The following is a 17,836-nucleotide window of genomic DNA, read 5'->3' as shown; positions in this document are numbered from 1 at the left end:
GAGACTGGACAACAGATACAAAGTCACAATTAAGAGAAATAAATTCTGGTGTTCAACTGCACATAAAGGTGACTATGATTAACAGTAAAATATTGTATATTACAAAATATACAATATTATAGCTGTAAGAGAGGCTGTTGAAAGTTCATGGCAAAGAAATGATAAATGTATGATGTGATAACTATACTAACTATCCTGATTGGATTAATATTCAACATAGATGTGTATCAAAACATCAACTTGTGCCCCATATATACAATGTGTCAATTTTTGTTTGTTTGTTTGTTTGTTTCATTATACTTTAAGTTTTAGGGTACATGTGCACAATGTGCAGGTTAGTTACATATGTATACATATGCCATGTTGGTGTGCTGCACCCATCAACTCGTCATTTAACATTAGGTATATCTCCTAGTGCTATACCTCCCCCTCCCCCCACCCCACAACAGGCGCTGGTGTGTGATGTTCCCCTTCCTGTGTCCATGTGTTCTCATTGTTCAATTCCCACCTATGAGTGAGAATATGCGGTGTTTGGTTTTTTGTCCTTGCGATAGTTTGCTGAGAATGATGGTTTCCAGCTTCATCCATGTCCCTACAAAGGAAATGAACTCATCCTTTTTTATGGCTGCATAGTATTCTATGGTGTATATGTGCCACATTTTCTTAATCCAGTCTGTCATTGTTGGACATTTGGCTTGGTTCCAAGTCTTTGCTATTGTGAATAGTGCCACAATAAACATACGTGTGCTTGTGTCTTTATAGCAGTGTGATTTATAATCCTTTGGGTATATACCAAGTAATGGGATTGCTGGGTCAAATGGTATTTCTAGTTCAAGATCCCTGAGGAATCGCCACAGGTACCAAAACAGAGATATAGATCAATGGAACAGAACAGAGCCCTCAGAAATAATGCCGCATATCTACAACCATCTGATCTTTGACAAATCTGACAAAAACAAGAAATGGGGAAAGGATTCCCTATTTAATAAATGGTGACGGGAAAACTGGCTAGCCATATGTAGAAAGCTGAAACTGGATCCCTTCCTTACACCTTAGACAAAAATTAATTCAAGATGGATGAAAGACTTACATGTTAGAACTAAAACCATAAAAACCCTAGAAGAAAACCTAGGCAATACCATTCAGGACCCAGGCATGGGCAAGGACTTCATATCTAAAACACCAAAAGCAATGGCAACAAAGGCCAAAATTGACAAATGGGATCTAATTAAACTAAAGAGCTTCTGCACAGCAAAAGAAACTACCATCAGAGTGAACAGGCAACCTACAGAATGGGAGAAAATTGTTGCAATCTACTCATCTGACAAAGGGCTAATATCCAGAATCTACAATGAACTCAAACAAATCTACAAGAAGAAAACAAACAGCCCCATGAAAAAGTGGGCAAAGGATATGAACAGACACTTCTCAAAAGAAGACATTTATGCAGCCAAAAGACACAGGAAAACATGCTCATCATCCCTGGCCATCAGAGAAATGCAAATCAAAACCATAATGAGATACCATCTCACACCAGTTAGAATGGTGATCATTAACAAGTCAGGAAACAACAGGTGCTGGAGAGGATGTGGAGAAATAGGAACACTTTTACACTGTTGGTGGGACTGTAAACTAGTTCAACCAATGTGTCAATTTTTAAAAATTAATTAATTTTTAATGAAAGATTATACACAAATCACTTGATCACAGGTTCATCTACTGGAGAGCTGGAGTAGGGCAGCTTTACCTCTTAGCTTGCACAGAGATACTAATAAACCAGCAGGGCCTTAACTGGCCAATCCCAATGTGTAACTGGATACTCACCAGGAAAGGATTATACATGGGCTTTAGATTATGAAGTTTGAAGTCCTCATCTATCATTTACTATCTGTGTGGTCTCAGAAAAATTATACCACATTCCTAAATTTTAATTTTGTTATTTATAAGTAATACATTTACCTCAGAGAGTTTAAAAAGATTAAAAGTTACTTGCAAAAGTATGCAAATGAGTTAGGCATGTGTGCTTGTATATAAAGAAGTGGGTTAATATTTATATGTGAATATGTGTGTATTTATGTGTGTATGTATGACTAAAAATGCCTCATTTAGTAGGCCAGGAACTCTATACATAGTAGTAATTATTATTATCAGCAAGGTAAGAATGATTATTATTTCTGAATACAAACATAATTACTTATATAATTTGAAGCTGTTTGGATTTAACATGGAATTATAACACAAGGCATGTGACTCAAGTTAGAGTCATTCAAGTAGAAATCCTTTCAATGTACCATATGTTATACATACAACTTTATGCAAATAAATTTCAGATCCTATAGAGTACAAAACTGAAAATTTTGAATGATTCTTACTTTAAGGATTACTTTTTAAAACTGCCTATTCAGGTAAAGATATATCATTAATTTACTCCTCTAAAACATCTTTCTCTTCCCCACTCCCACCTAGAGTTCGTTGTAGATCCTCTGTAAATGCCAAATGAAAGGATCTGATGAATGATTAGACTGTTCTGAATTTTAAAACATTCATAACCCAAAAGAAAGTTTTAAAATATGAATTCAGAAATAAAATCAGTAACAGCTGGCTTGTTTAACTCTAATATGCACAAGAGTGGAAATACTCCAATCATCCATTACTATATCTCATGAAAATGCTTCACACAGGTTTCAGCAAGTACTCCCATAAATACTGGTCACAGGACTAAAGCTATCACTGGATCAGTGTCCAGTACAGTCAGAAACAAAGCATTCAGCCAACAGTCTCACCAAGAGTGGCAGGGCTGGGGGCACTCAAAGGGGAAGTGTCCAAAAAGAATCACAGATTTTCCTGCTGTGACACGTATACAAATTTTTATAGATACTTACACACACATATAGTTATATACTATGCCCCCATCCACCCTACATAGTATAGTACTTTTTAGTTTATAAACATTTTCATAGACTGTATCTCATTTGAGCATCATGACAACACTGTCAGGTAAATATGAGAGATATTAGAACCCCACTTAACAGATGAGGAAACTGAGACTAATATCAAGTGACATATACAAGGTAACACAGATATAAAATAAGGCTATTAGGCCAACACTCTATTACAAAACAATTTTATCCCTTAAAAGTTAAACAATTTTTTTTTTGAGACAGGGTCTCGCTCTTTTGCACAGGCTGGAGTGCAATGGCACAATCTCAGCTCACTGCAACCCCTGCCTCCCAGGTTCAAGTGATTCTCCCACCTCAGCCTCCAGAATAGCTGGAACTACAGGTGTGTGTCATCACACCAGGCTAGTTTTTGTATTTTTAGTAGAGATGGGGTTTCACCATGTTGGCCAGGCTGGTCTCGAACTCCTGACCTCAAGTGATTTGCCCGCTTCGGCCTCCCAAAGTGCTGGGATTATAGGTGTGAGCCACTGCGCCTCTGCCTCCCGGGTAACCTCTGCCTCCCGGGTAACCTCTGCCTCCCGGGTTCAAGCGATTCTCCTGTCTCAGCTTCCCAAGTAGCTAGGACTAGAGGCGTGCACCACCACGCCCAGCTAATTTTTATATTTTTAGTAGAGACGGGGTTTCACCATGTCGGCCAGGATGGTCTCAATCTCTTGACCTCGTGATCCGCCCACCTTGGCCTCCCAAAGTACTGGGATTACAGGCGTGAGCCACAAAAGTTAAAAATTTTCAATAAATGTGCTGAGTCCTCAAAAAGAAAACAGAAAAGTACCAGGCTAAAAGATGCAAGATCAGGATCTGACCTCACTCTACAATTTTCTGTCTGTATAAGCTGGATAACTTACTTAACTCCTCAGAGCCTTAGTTTTCTCATCTAGAAAATGATAACAGCATTTAAAAAAATTTTTCTTAAATTTTTTAAAATTTTATTTTTTGAAAAATAGAGATGGGATCTAGCTGTGTTGCCCAGGCTGGTCTTGAACTCCTGGGCTCAAGTGACCCACCCACCTCGGCCTCCTAAAGTGCTAGGATTATGGGCATGAGCCACCATGCCCCAACTGGATAATGGCATCTATCTTGCAGGATTACTGTAAAGAGAAAATGAGAAAATATATGTAAGGGGCCTCCTTCAAATTATCTAAGATAGTGGTCCCCCACCTTTTTGGCATCTGGGTTCAGCTTCATTGAAGAAACCAGAGAGGGTGGTGAAGCAGGGTGGTTTTAGGATGAAACTGTTCCACCTCAGATCATCAGGAATTAGACTCTCACAAGGAGCATGAAACCTAGATCCCACACATGCTCAGTTCACAATAGGGTTCACACTCCTATGATAATCTAATGCAGCTGCTGATCTGACAGCAGGCAGCACTCAGGCAGTAATACTTGCTCATCTACCACTCACCTCCTGTTGTGTGGCCTGGTTCCTAACAAGCCATGGACCAGGACTGGTCCACAGCCTGGGGGTTTGAGCCTCCTGAACTAGGACATAACAAGTGCTTAATAAATGGGAAAAACTTTTTTTTTATTGTTTTCCTTTTTCTCTAGGCTCCGGCTATCTTAATTCCTAGTAGGGTTAATAGAATTATGTTTTAAGATTCTTTCTAGTTCTAAAAGTGAACAGGAGAGTGAACTATTTCTTTCTATATTAAGAAATTCTGGGGCTGGGAGTAGTGGCTTAAACCTGTAATCCCAACAATTTGGGAGGCCAAGGCAGAAGGATCACTTGAGCCTAGGAATTCAAGACCAGCCTGGGCACAAAGCAAGACCCCATCTCTACAAAAAATACAAATTAGCTAGGCAGGGTGGCACATGCCTGTAGTCCCAGCTACTCAGGAGGCTGAGGTGGAAGGATCGCTTGAGCCTGGCAGGTCGAGGCTGCAGTGAGCCGTGACTGCCCCATTGCACTCCTGCCTGAGCAACAGAGGAAGACCCTGTCTCAAGAAAAGAAAAAGAAAAAGAAATTCTGGGGTTTTAAATTCAGGTCACACTGCCCCATCTGTAGTTTCTCAAAATGTTTGTAAAAACTTAACAAGCAATGTGTTCATTTAAAAAAAGGATTATTGGCTGGGTGTAGTGGCTCACATCTATAATCCCAGCCTTTTTTTTTTTTTTAAGATGAGAGTCTCCTCCTTGTCACCAGGCCGGAGTCCAGCAGCGTGATCTTGGCTCGCTGCAACTTCCACCTCCGGGTTCAAGCGATTCTCCTGCCTCAGCCTCCCAAGTAGCTGGGATTACAGGCGTGCGCCACCATGCCCCAGCTAATTTTTGTATTTTTAGTAGAGACGGGGTTTTACCATGTTGGCCAGGATGGTCTCAATCTCCTGACCTCGTGATCCACCCGCCTTCGCCTCCCAAAGTGCTGGAATTACAGGTGTGAGTCACCGCACCCAGCCTATAATCCCAGTCTTTTGGGAGGCTGAGGCAGGAGGACTGCTTGAGGCCAAGAGTTTGAGACCAACCTGGGCCACACAGGCCTCATTTCTACAGAAAAGAAAACAAATAAATATATACATGCATTCATACATACATAAAAAGTATAACTTACCAACAGTTTTGCTGCCTGAACATGAACCACCCAAGAGCCATCACTGACCATGTGACAAATTTTTCCAAACGCATCATCAACTAAGCGTATTTCTTCATTAGAAGAAGGAATTGGGACAATGCTAAATTAAAAGAAAAGAAATGAAATCACTTAGAACAAAACATGAATCTAAGTCTGCAGATTCAGGCCATGCACAGTGGCTCACATCTATAATCCCAACACTTTGGGAGGCCCAGGCAGGTAGATTGCTTGAGCCCAAGAGTTCAAGACCAACCTGAGCAATATGGCAAAACCTCATCTCTACAAAAAAAATACAAAAATTAGCTAGGCATGGTGGCATGCGCTGATAGTCCCAGCTACTTGGGAGGCTGAAGTGGGAACATAACTTTAGCTCTGGAGGTGAAGGTTGCAGTGAGCTGAGATCACACCCCGGCACTCCAGCCTGGATGACGGAGCAAGACCCTGTCTCAAAAAATAAATACAGTCTGGGTGCAATGGCTCACGCCTGTAATCCCAGCACTTTGGGAGGCTGAGGCAGGTGGATAACTTGAGGTCAAGAGTTCGAGACCAGCCTGGCCAACATGGTGAAACCTCCTCTCTACTGAAAATATAAAAGCTAGCCAGGCACGGTGACACATGTCTGCAATCCCAGCTACTCAGGAGGCTGAGGCAGGAGAATCGCTTGAACCTGGAAGGTGGAGGTTGCAGTGATCCGAGATAGTGCCACTACACTCCAGCCTGGGCAACAGAGCGAGACTCCATCTCAAATAATAATAATAATAATAATAATAATAATAATAATAATAATAATAAACAAATAAATACATAAGTAAGTAAGGCTGCAGGCTCAATAAACTGAGAACAGTCAATGAAGACTGACACACACAAAAATGATAATTGAATAGTTCAAATCCTAGAATGATTAAATACAGTTTGAAATAAACAAATCACTCTAGGAGTACAAACCAACTCTTTCAGTTGCATTGCAAATTATGCTTTTTTTTTGAGACAGGGTCTCACTTCTGTCACCCAGGCTGGAGTGCAGTTGGCATGAGCACTGCTCACCGCAGTGTCAACTTCCTGGGCTCAGGTGATCCTCCCAGTTCACTCTTCTGAGTAGCTGGGACTACAAAAGCATGCCACCACACCCAGCTAATTTTTTATATTTTTAGTAGAGACGGTTCACCATGTTGCCCAGGTTGATCTCAAACTCCTGAGATCAAGCAATCCGCCCGCCTCACCTCCCAAAGTGCTAGGATTACAGGGCTGAGCCACTGCAATCAGGTGCAAATTTTCAATGTATTGAATAAAAGTGTGTAACCCACCAAAGGTTCAGCCAGGCGTGTAATCCCAGCACACTGAGATACTGAGGTGGGCAGATTACCTGAAGCCAGGGGTTCAAGACTAGCCTACCCAACATGGCAAAACCTCATCTCTACTAAAAATACAAAAAATGAGCTGGGTGTGGTGGGGCGCAACTGTAATTCCGGCTATTTGGGAGGCTCAGGCATGAGAATTGCTTCAACCCAGGAGTTGGAGGTTGCAGTAAGCCGAGATCACATCACTGCACTGCAGCCTGGGCCACAGAGCAAGACCCTGCCTTAAAAAAAAAGTACGTAACCCACCAAAGGTTCAAAGATTTATGAAATTATCAAAAACTAGCTTCCACCGAATATTTCATATCCTTAAGTTTATTATCTTCTGTAACTGAAATTCTTCTTCTTCTTCTTTTTTTTTTTTGAGAGAAAGTGTCTTGCTCTGTGACCCAGGCTGGAGTGCAGTGGTGCGATCTCAGCTCACTGCAATCTCCACTTCCCGGGTTCAAGCGATTCTCCTGCCTTAGCCTCCCTAGTAGCTGGGATTACAGGCGTGTGCCACCATGCCCGGCTAATTTTTGTATTTTCAGTAGAGATGAGGTTTCACCATGCTGGCCAGGCTGGTCTTGAACTCCTGACCCGAGGTGATCCGCCCACCTCGGCCTCCAAAAGTGCTGGGATTACAGGCACCACCGTGTCCAGACTGAACTTCTATAAATACATTAAATCTCAGAATAAATCAATATAAAACTTACTTATCAATCCAGTCCTAAAAGAAGAGACAATTTCCACTTAGCCCTTTTCTTTGTATATGTCTAAGTCCTAAAATGGAGTCTACTACAAATGGAGCCTACTCCTACAGGTTTATTAATCCATTCTGGTTTTCAAATTTTGGCAGTTTAATGAAGAGGAAAAAACACCTCTTTTTCCTATACAAGGAAAAATAAAATATTCTATAAATATTTATAAATAAAAGATAAATATTTATAAATATAATATTCTATCTTACAAAATATAATAAATAATATTGCCTACCTCCTCAAAGAATCACTGTGGTTAATTTAATTGCTGTGAAAATATTTTTAACCAGGAAAACTACATAAGAGATCATTATTCTCAAACTCATCTGGTATCTTTGGCATTTGGCGCAAGCCAAACTAAAATGGGTCCCAAACAATTTTAAAGATTTTATTGTAAAGTACTGAAAACCATTTAAGAAAGATATTCCAATTTCTTCACTTATGGATGAGAAGATTAGGACAAAAGAAGTGTCTTTCCGAAGGTGTACAGAAAGTTCCTATCAGAGATGAAAAATGAGGACCAGGCAATCTGATTTTCAGGGCCTGTGCTTTTCCCTTACTCCCCATTGCCTTCCAAAAATCTAACCAACATTTCTTTTCTAGAAGTGGGCTTTTTGCATGGTGAGAGGAGAGGAAAACGGCTTCACAATCAACAAAAGCCAGCTTACACCCGCACTGACCTTTCAGGATAGAGCTGACTGACAACCCAGATAAGCTAGACTGCAGCACTGCGCACTTGTTCATAGTCATCAGAGAGTAATTTACAGGCCTGCAAAGAAGAATTCCAAAAGTCTATTAGTTCTGTGTCCTCTCAGGCAATGTTTAAACTATTTTCAAAGTGAAGATATAGGGTAGTTGGATAAGGATGCCCAGTAAAACACTTGTGTGTGGTTTTTAACTTCTTGAATCTTTGCTTAAAAATGAATCTTGACCTCTGTCAGCTGCTCTGGCTATATTCTGACTATGCACTCTACCCCACGTCTGGAAGGAGAATCACAGACTGACAGCATAAAAACATCTAGAACAGATCAAACCCAGCAAAGCATGCTGGGAGCCCACAGTACTGTTCTCACAGGCTCAAACACCAATTATGGGTTTTTCCTCCCCCTGTAAAAATCAAAGCGCACACTTCTGTTTACCTTGGTCTGAAATCAATGGCCTCTGTTTCAATCCACTCACTCTTTCTGGGTAGCCCCATTTCTCCCTAAATACTGATGGCTCCGAATACCTACCCTTAGCTCTGATTTCTCCTGATCTCCAGACCTTTATAACTACTTATGGCTGGAATTCTCTTCACGGATGTCCCATCAAACTTTTGTACCCAACACACGCAAACCTGAACTCATTAAGGAAGCAAATTCTACCTTATATCTTAAATTCTACACTATCAGTCCATCCTCACTCCCTTGATGCTGTCATTACTGCTTGCCTAGATTACTAACAGAGTCTTATGCCACCAAACATCTGAATCAGCCAACTAACTTCCGTTCCTCTGAGTCCTTACTATCCAAGTTTCCTTTAAATTATTTGGCTTCCCACATAGTATCAAAAAAAAAAAAAAAAAACGAGGAAATAGTACATGAAAAAGCAGAATTAAAACAACTGAGTATATGTTTAAAACTGCAAAAGCTCACTTTTTCAGAAAAATATTAAAATATTAAATCTAACAAATATCTAGGCAGATTGATGGAGAAAAATACAGAAAATGCACAAAAAAACCAATTACCTGGAATGTGAAGGATACAAAACGTCAGCAGTTGTAGATTTTAAATAAGCAATGACTTTGAGTTCGACCATGATTGGGTATATTGAAAAGAATCTCTCAGAAAAAAAGAAAAAGAAAACTGTTATAAAGCTATGTACAAAATGTTAAGCACTATTGAAGTCTTCCAATTCTACCAGTTATGGAGTTATTGGTCTTGGACTAATTCTCCTGAAAAGAAAAAAACAAAACAAAACAAAAAAAACTAAAAACTGGGATAAAATAGCCTACCGTGGGCACTGGCAATGCAACCGAGCACGTAGGACATGGGTGCTACATTCTCTTTGTCAGAACACAAAGCATTCATACACTCTTCTCACCCTCACTCTCACCTTTTAATCTTAGATCTACTATTAAAAGTATTCAACATTACTATCAATCCTTTGGTCAAAATTTCTTTACTCACATTTTGCTTGATGCACTTGGATAGACTGTTCAAGAAAGTGTGAGTAGTGAATTCCTCAAACTCTTGCATATTTAAAATTACATTTTTGAGCCTTGATGCTTGAAGTGTAGCTTGGGTAACGGGTGGGCTTTAAGCCAATTTTGGCATGCAAGGGGTTGAGTTTATTAGGCATCAGCACCTCTGAAAATCGTGGGGATGCAGGCTTAATTTCAACACTATTCTAAATACTTGAAAGATATTATATAACTCTTTAATAAACTCCTGTGTCTACAAATGGTTCACATTAACTCAATATCCAAGATTAAACATCTATAAAATCAAGGCACTGTTATTTAGTGGAGACTTGCTGGCTATTCTATGAGAGGAGGTATTGTTATTGTAATCTCATCCTCTCATAAAAGTGTATCATATTACTCATAACCAGCCCTTCATATTCTATTCCTATTTTGGTATTTAAAAATAAGATATCTTTGAAACACTTGAATTCAAAGAGGGAATCTGAATAGTTTTTAAAATGTCAATGAAATGCCATTTCTTCATGCTTGAACAAATACAAATTGACTAAAGTGCTTCTCTTCAAACTTTCTGGAACATTTTTTATCTAAATTCTAGGAACAATCACAATAGGTTTTAACCACAAATGTGAGAATGTTCTAAACGTTAGGGTGGAAAATTTTTAAAATAATTTTATAGTAATTTTTTCATCATAGTGACAGTGTGCTAAATTTTTTTCAGTCAAATATTACTGTGGACATTTAAGTCAAGATTCTAAGAAGCTGTTCTACAGTCCAAAATTTAGTTTCATATACAATGATATTATACATATATTTGCATATAAAATTAATATATGTGAGCCATGTTTCAAATAGTTGAGAGATTATTATATCAAAGATTCTTGATTATATAAAATGCCAATTACTTATAGGCACACATGCTTTTAATAATTACAAAGGCAGTTGTGGTTGATTCTACTCTTGCTACTGGCATTTATATGGACATAACATTATGGTCTGAAGAATATTTAGGCAAATTTATCCCTCATATGATCAGAAGAACAATGCAAGATAGTTTATATCTGAAAGGAAAAAACCTTTATATGGTTCTGAAAGCCTAAATCCTTAACAACTTGCATAATAATTAGCATAAAAATACACAAACATGCCCTCTTCCTAGCAGTAAGTACACAGTGACAACAGAATCAAAGCATGTGGCTCCTCTTCTCTGCCCTTTCTAGATGGCACAATTCCTCATGAATCTAAGTGCAGTCATAGGGTGGATTAGGGTGACCTGCCATTTGTATGCAACTGATCTCTATTTTGGAAGCAATTAATGTAAAAATATATTTTTACAAGATAATTTCAAATTTCAGGGCAAACTAGCATGGTTTCACTCCTTTTCTTTGTAACATTTTTTCTAAGGTTGGAAAAGTAAGGCTTTAGTACGATTTTTAATAATAAGTTTTCAAAGTGAGACGCAAAATGGTGGCGCCAACACATTTCAAGTCTGCTACATTTTGAATACACTTATTGGAGAAAAGACCTTCTCATCATTTTTCTCTTACAGGAAAGGAAATAACATGTACAGTTGACCCTTAAGCAACACAGAGGTTGGGGTGCTGGCCCCCCTACACAGTAGAAAATCCACTATAACTTTGACTCCCCCAAAACTTAACTACTAATAGCCTACTGTAAGCCTTACAAATAACACAAGCAGTCAATTAACACATATTTAATATGTTATATGTCTTATATACTGTATTCTTAACAAACATGCCAGAGAAAAGAAAAAGAAAATCATAAGGAAAATATATTTACTAGTTATTAAATGGAAGTACATGATCAAACAGGTCTTCATCCTCATCCTTTTCATGGGCAGGGTGTGGAGAAGGATGTAGAATTGTTGGTTTTGCTAAGTGGACCTGCACAGTTCAAACCCCTGTGGTGCAAAGGCCAACTGTAAAGCCATTGAATAGCAATTTAGTTTTAGAAATTAACCTCACTAAAATACTCTTAGAAGGATGCCAAGAAAAAAAATGAATAAGTATTTTTGGTTCATCTATTTCATCATTTCATTTAATTTCCTCATTTCATTTCATCCTTTCATCATTTCGTTGCATCATTTCATTTCATCATTTCATCTCATCATTTCATTTCATTCTTTCATTTCATCATTTCATCTCAACATTTCATTTCATCATTTCACTTCATCTCATCATTTCATCATTTCATCTCATGATTTCATTTCATCTCATTTCATCTTTTCATCTCATTTCATCTTTTCATCTCATTTCATTATTTCATCCTTTCATCATTTTATTGCATCATTTCATCTCATCATTTCATTTCATTCTTTCATTTCATTTCATCATTTCATCTCAACATTTCATCATTTCACTTCATCTCATCATTTCATTTCATCTCATTTTATTTCATCTTTTCGTCATTTCATTTCATCATTGCATCTTTTCATCTCAATTCATTTTTCATCAATTCATTTCATTTCACTTATTTCATTTCATCTTTTCATCATTTGACTTCATTTCATCATTTAATATCATTTCATCATTTCATATCATTTCATCATTTCATCTTTCCATTTCATCATTTCATCATTTGACTTATCATTTCATTTCATCATTTCATTTCCTCATTTCATCATTTCATTTCATTGCATCCTTTCATCATTTCATCTCATTTCATCCTTTCATTTCATTATTTCATTTCATCATTTCATCATTGCATTTCCTCATTTCATCATTTCACTTCATCTCATTTCATAATTTCATCTCATGATTTCATCTCATGATTTCATTTCATCTCATTTCATCTTTTCATCTCATTTCATCATTTCATCTTTTCATCTCATCATTTCATCAATTCATCATTTCATCATTTCATTAATCATTTCACTTCATTTCATCATTTCATATCATTTCTTCATTTCATCATTTGATCTTTTCATTTCATTTCATTTCATCATTTCACTGCATCATTTCATTTCTTCCTTTCATTTCCTCATTTCATTTCACCATTTCATCATTTCATCATTCCATTTCATCATTTCATCATTTCATCTCATCATTTCATTATTTCATCAATTCATTTCATTTACTTCATCATTTCATCATTTGACTTCATTTCATCATTTCATCATTTAATATCATTTCATCATTGCATTTCATATCATTTCATCATTTCATCTTTCCATTTCATCATTTCATCATTTGACTTATCATTTCATTTCATCATTTCATCATTTCATTTCATCCTTTCATCATTTCATCTCATTTCATCCTTTCATTTCATTATTTCATTTCATTTCATCTCATCATTGCATTTCCTCATTTCATCATTTCACTTCATCTCATCATTTCATAATTTCATCTCATGATTTCATTTCATCTCATGATTTCATTTCATCTCATTTCATTTCATCTTTTCATCTCATTTCATCATTTCATTTCATCTTTTCATCTCATCATTTCATTTCATCAATTCATCATTTCATTATTTCATTAATCATTTCACTTCACTTCATCATTTCATATCATTTCTTCATTTCATCATTTGATCTTTTCATTTCATCATTTCATTTCATTTCATCATTTCACTTCATTTCTTCATTTCATTTCCTCATTTCATTTCACCATTTCATCATTTCATTTCATCATTCCATTTCATCATTTCATCTCATCATTTCATCCTTTCATTATTTCATTTCATCATTTCATCTCATCATTTCATCATTTCACTTCATCTCATCATTTCATCTCATGATTTCATTTCATCTCATCAATTTATAGCATCTTTTCATCTCATTTATTTCATTTCATCTTTTCATTTCGTCATTCATTTCATCATTTCATTTTGTCAATTCATTTCATTTCCTTATTTCATCATTTCATTATTTCACTTCATTTCATCATTTCATTCCATCATTTCATATCATTTCTTCATCATTTCATTTCACTTCATTTCACCATTTCATCATCATTCCATTTCTCATTTCATCTTATCATTTCATTTCATCATTTCACTTCATCTCATGATTTCATCATTTCATCTAATGATTTCATTTCATCTCATCATTTCATCTTTTCATCTCATCATTTCATTTAATCATTTCGTTTCATTTCACCTTTTAATCTCGTCATTTCATTTCATCATTTCATGTCATCAATTCATCATTTCATTTCATTATTTCATCATTTCATCATTTCACTTCATCACTTCATTACATTTCATCTCATCATTTCATATCATTTGTTCATTTCATCATTTCATCTTTTCATTTCATTGTTTCACTTCATCATTTCATCATTTCATATCATTTCTTCATTTCATCATTTCATCTTTTCTTTTCATCATTTCATTTCATTATTTCACTTCATCAGTTCATTTCATCATTTCATTTCATTTCCTCATTTCATTTCACCATTTTGTTTCATCATTTCATTATTTCATTTCATCATTCGATTTCATCATTTCATTTCATCATTTTATCATGTCATTTCATCTCATCATTTCATTTCATCTCATCTCATCATTTCATTTCATCATTTCATCATTTCATTTCATTTCATCATTTCATCATTTCGTTTCTTCATTTGATCATTTCATCATTTCATCATTTCATTTCATTTCAGTGATACATGTATTTAAGTGCTAATGTGATGCCCAGGAGACACCCTATTTCCCTTTGTAAAACACCTCCTTCAACAAAAGGCAACCTCTCATGGCTGGCTAAGTCTACAGGGATACCAGCCTCTCTTCAACCACCCAGTTTGATTTAGAACCTCAAACAGCACCTCAGTTTCATAAAAACCTAAAACATAAACACAACACTTGGTTGTAAGTGAGCCAACAGTTTCTTGTCTCTTTCTCTGCTCAAGGCTTAAGGCCGTGTCTCCCCAACTACGTTCAGTGGAAGAAAAGATCCCCTGGACAAATAAGTTTGAGAACTGTTGTTGCAGGACTTCTCAGAACCTTTAAAACACAAATCCTCATCCGCAGGGATCTTCAGGAGGGAGATGGCTGGTGCAGCACAACTTTCTTTCACAGGAGCATCTTGCAGAATACAGTATGAGATACAGAAAGGCTGCACTGAGTCTTTTTAAGGGCCCAGGCCTTGGTGCGGGTGGGGAAGGAGCTCTCCAGATAGCATCTAATGAGTAGGAACATTCAGGTGGCTTTTTTTTTTCCTTATTGGCAAAACTGTGTGTGCACCATGAATGAAGCTGGATTCCCTTATCCATATCAAAACTAAACCCAAATTAATTGGCTGAATTGGGACTCAACACCTCCAGGAGCCACATGGAAGAAAGCCCCACCACACTTTAAAGTAGCTTACCTCATCATATTTGAGGAAAGCAAAACGCTTATGACCAGTATGCTGCTAATACAAGTCTACAGATAATGCTGTATGAAAAATTATTTTTCCCAATCATGGCTGGCATAGTCCACATTTTGCATTACACTTTCCCCCCTTTTTTTAAATTTTAAGCACAGGTCTTTTTCTCTTCTTTTTTTAAATTTTAATTTAATTATACAAGACGGAGTCTCAGTATGTTGCCCAGGCTGGTCTTGGACTCCTGAGCTCAAGTGATACATCCGTCTCCGCCTCCCAAAGTGCTGGGATTACAGGCCTGAGACACTGTGCCCGGCCTTAAACACAAATCTTAATTCATTCTTACAACTATCCTGGGGTTAGAAAAATGGAAGGGGAAGAAAAATGGCAAGCAGGCAGGCTGACTTCGGCTTCATTATTTGGAAGGACAGTTTGCTCGGTTAAAACACACTACTGCCCACAAAGGCCAAGACAACAGAAAAATACAGACTTATATAAATAGATTTTATATGTGACAGCAGTTTGAATGGAGACTTTTTCAATGCAAATGACAAACAGCTGTCCTTGGGAATAAATGACAACGAATTTTTTTATCTCAACATCTGTCCTGAGAGCACGTCTCTACATCTCTACCTGCATTCTGGAAACCGGGAGAAAGCCAAAACGGACGACAAGACACTAGATCAGCCGTGTCCAACCCTGTGACTACAAGGACTTTTCCGCCTATCTTTGGTGGTGGGTATCATCAAAATTCTGCACAAACCTTTTTTTTTTTTTTTTTTTAAGCTCATCAGCTGTTGTTAGCATTAGTGTATTTTATGTGTGGCTCAGGAGCATTCTTCTTCCAATGTGGGCCTGAGAAGCCAAAAGACTGGACACCTGTGCACTAAATCAAAAGGCTATTCCTTCTGGAAGCAATTGTAAAGAATTTCTCACATTATCTTGACATGAAAACCAATGGATAGTGGGACAGAATGCAAAATCTTCAAGAATTTTTGTTGTTGTTGTTGTTGTTTTTGAGTCAAGGTCTTGCTCTGTGGCCCAGGCTGGAGTACACTGGTGAGATCACAGCTCAGTGCAGGCTCAAGTGCTCCTCCTGCCTCAGCCACAGTACTAGCTGGGACTACAGATGCGCGCAGCCACCCCTGGCTAATATTTTATCTTTTGTAGAGACGGGGTCTCACTGTATTGTCCAGGTTGGTCTCAAACTCTTTGACTCAAGGGATCCAGGACAGGATAACAGGTGTGAGCCACCACACCTGGTCATGTGCACGAACTTTTAAGACAAACACAAGGCCCCACAACAGGTAAGGTTTTCCCACCTAATTTCCAGGGGATCTTTTGGTGCAAGGATGAGAAGCCCTTAAAAGTACACAGACAACTCCAAAGATTCAAGACAGTTCATTCGGGCTGAGCCAGCCCACTGGGCAGATAGACCTTCAAGAAAGGCCCACGCATGACATACACCAGATGGCTCTCCAAGAATCGCTTCAGTCCTCAGGGTCCCTAAGGTACTGGACAGAGCTAGGAAAGCAAACCCATTTGCTTCTTCCTGCACGAAACCCCTTGAGGTCAAGACCCCACAATCAGACGAGGATGGAGTGGCTCACCCTCAGTCAACAGGCCAGACTCAAGGTGGTATAATGACTTAACCAAGGGTGTGGGACTCCAGGTCTGACTCCCAACTCAGTTCTCCTTTAATAACCACACTTTGGTAATTCTCCTTAACAGGGGTTCCTGGCAAGTCAGTTCTCCCTCAGGCCTTTGGTTTCCTCACCTACAAGATGAGAGGGCCGGACCAGATGGAAATTCGGGGGTAAGGGGATGTCCGCGCGCAGCCCACCCCCACCCTCCCCGCCCCACGGGACCCTAGAGCCTCCATCCCAGTTCCCACCAAGCACTCGCCCCACAAATCCTGCCCAAGGTGAGGGCTGGTCCCGGGTCTCTCGGCTGCCCCATCAGCGAGTGCAGGAGGGAGGGGAAGCCTCCAAGGGCGCGACGCGGGCTCAAGGATGCAACTCGGCCAGGAGTGAACTGGGGCCTCAAGGGAGGTGTCCGGGCCGCTCCTCGAGCCCAGCCCGGGTCCCCAAACCCCTTACCTCCAGGGTCCGTATCTCCTGCTCGGTGAGGTCGTTGGACACAGCGCACTTGGTGCCCAGCCCGCGCAGGCTGCCAATGGAGATGCCGATGAGCTTCTGGAGCTGTCTGCACTGCTGCAGCCCCGGGCTGGCCGGGGCCCCTGCGCCACCCTCAGCGGCCGCTGCATCACCCCCGCCACCGCCCTCCTTCTTCTCTCCCATCGCCTCCGCGCGCAGTGCCGCTCTATGCAGGCCACAGCGGCCGAGGCAGGGAGCCCGGGGCTCTGGCGCCTAGGCAAGGAACCCCCGAGCCGGGAGAGCTGGACCGGGAGCGCCCCTCGGCGCTGCCCTTGCCAGGACGCCAGTAGAGCTGGCAGCGGAGTCTGCCGCTCCCGCCCTCAGAGCCGTGGCGGCGGGAGCAGAAAGCCGCGGCGGCAAAAAGCCGCGGCGACGGGGGGCAAAAAGCCGCGGCGGCGCAGGCAAAAAGCTTAGGCGGCGGGGGCAAAAAGCCGCGGCGGCAAAAATGCGCGGCGGCGGGGCAAAAAGCCGCGGCGGAAGAAAGCCGCCGGGGCGGGGGCAAAAAGCCGCGGCGGGGGGGACAAAAAGCAGTGGGAGCTGGGGCA

General features: G+C 39.5%; 1 pseudogene across 2 annotated transcripts in view; it reads right to left on the bottom strand.

Moving 5' to 3' along the window:
* Window positions 1–17,613, bottom strand: part of INTS4P1 (integrator complex subunit 4 pseudogene 1) — a 93,193-nt pseudogene extending 75,580 nt beyond the window's left edge. Inside the window, exons 1-3 of one of the 2 annotated variants that reach the window (NR_146906.1) lie at window positions 17,235–17,613; window positions 8,302–8,390; window positions 5,506–5,626 (exon numbers count right to left, since the gene is read on the bottom strand). The product of NR_146906.1 is annotated as an integrator complex subunit 4 pseudogene 1, transcript variant 2 (transcript). The remainder of the gene's footprint in view (window positions 1–5,505; window positions 5,627–8,301; window positions 8,391–17,234) is intronic. The other variant, NR_146905.1, reaches the window with a different exon arrangement.
* Window positions 17,614–17,836: the final 223 nt, after the last annotated feature.

Source organism: Homo sapiens, chromosome 7, assembly GCF_000001405.40.
Source record: "Homo sapiens chromosome 7, GRCh38.p14 Primary Assembly".
NCBI lineage: Eukaryota > Metazoa > Chordata > Mammalia > Primates > Hominidae > Homo > Homo sapiens.
The sequence above is the reverse complement of the archived record's forward strand: the minus strand, read 5'-3'. Positions and strand labels throughout refer to the sequence as shown.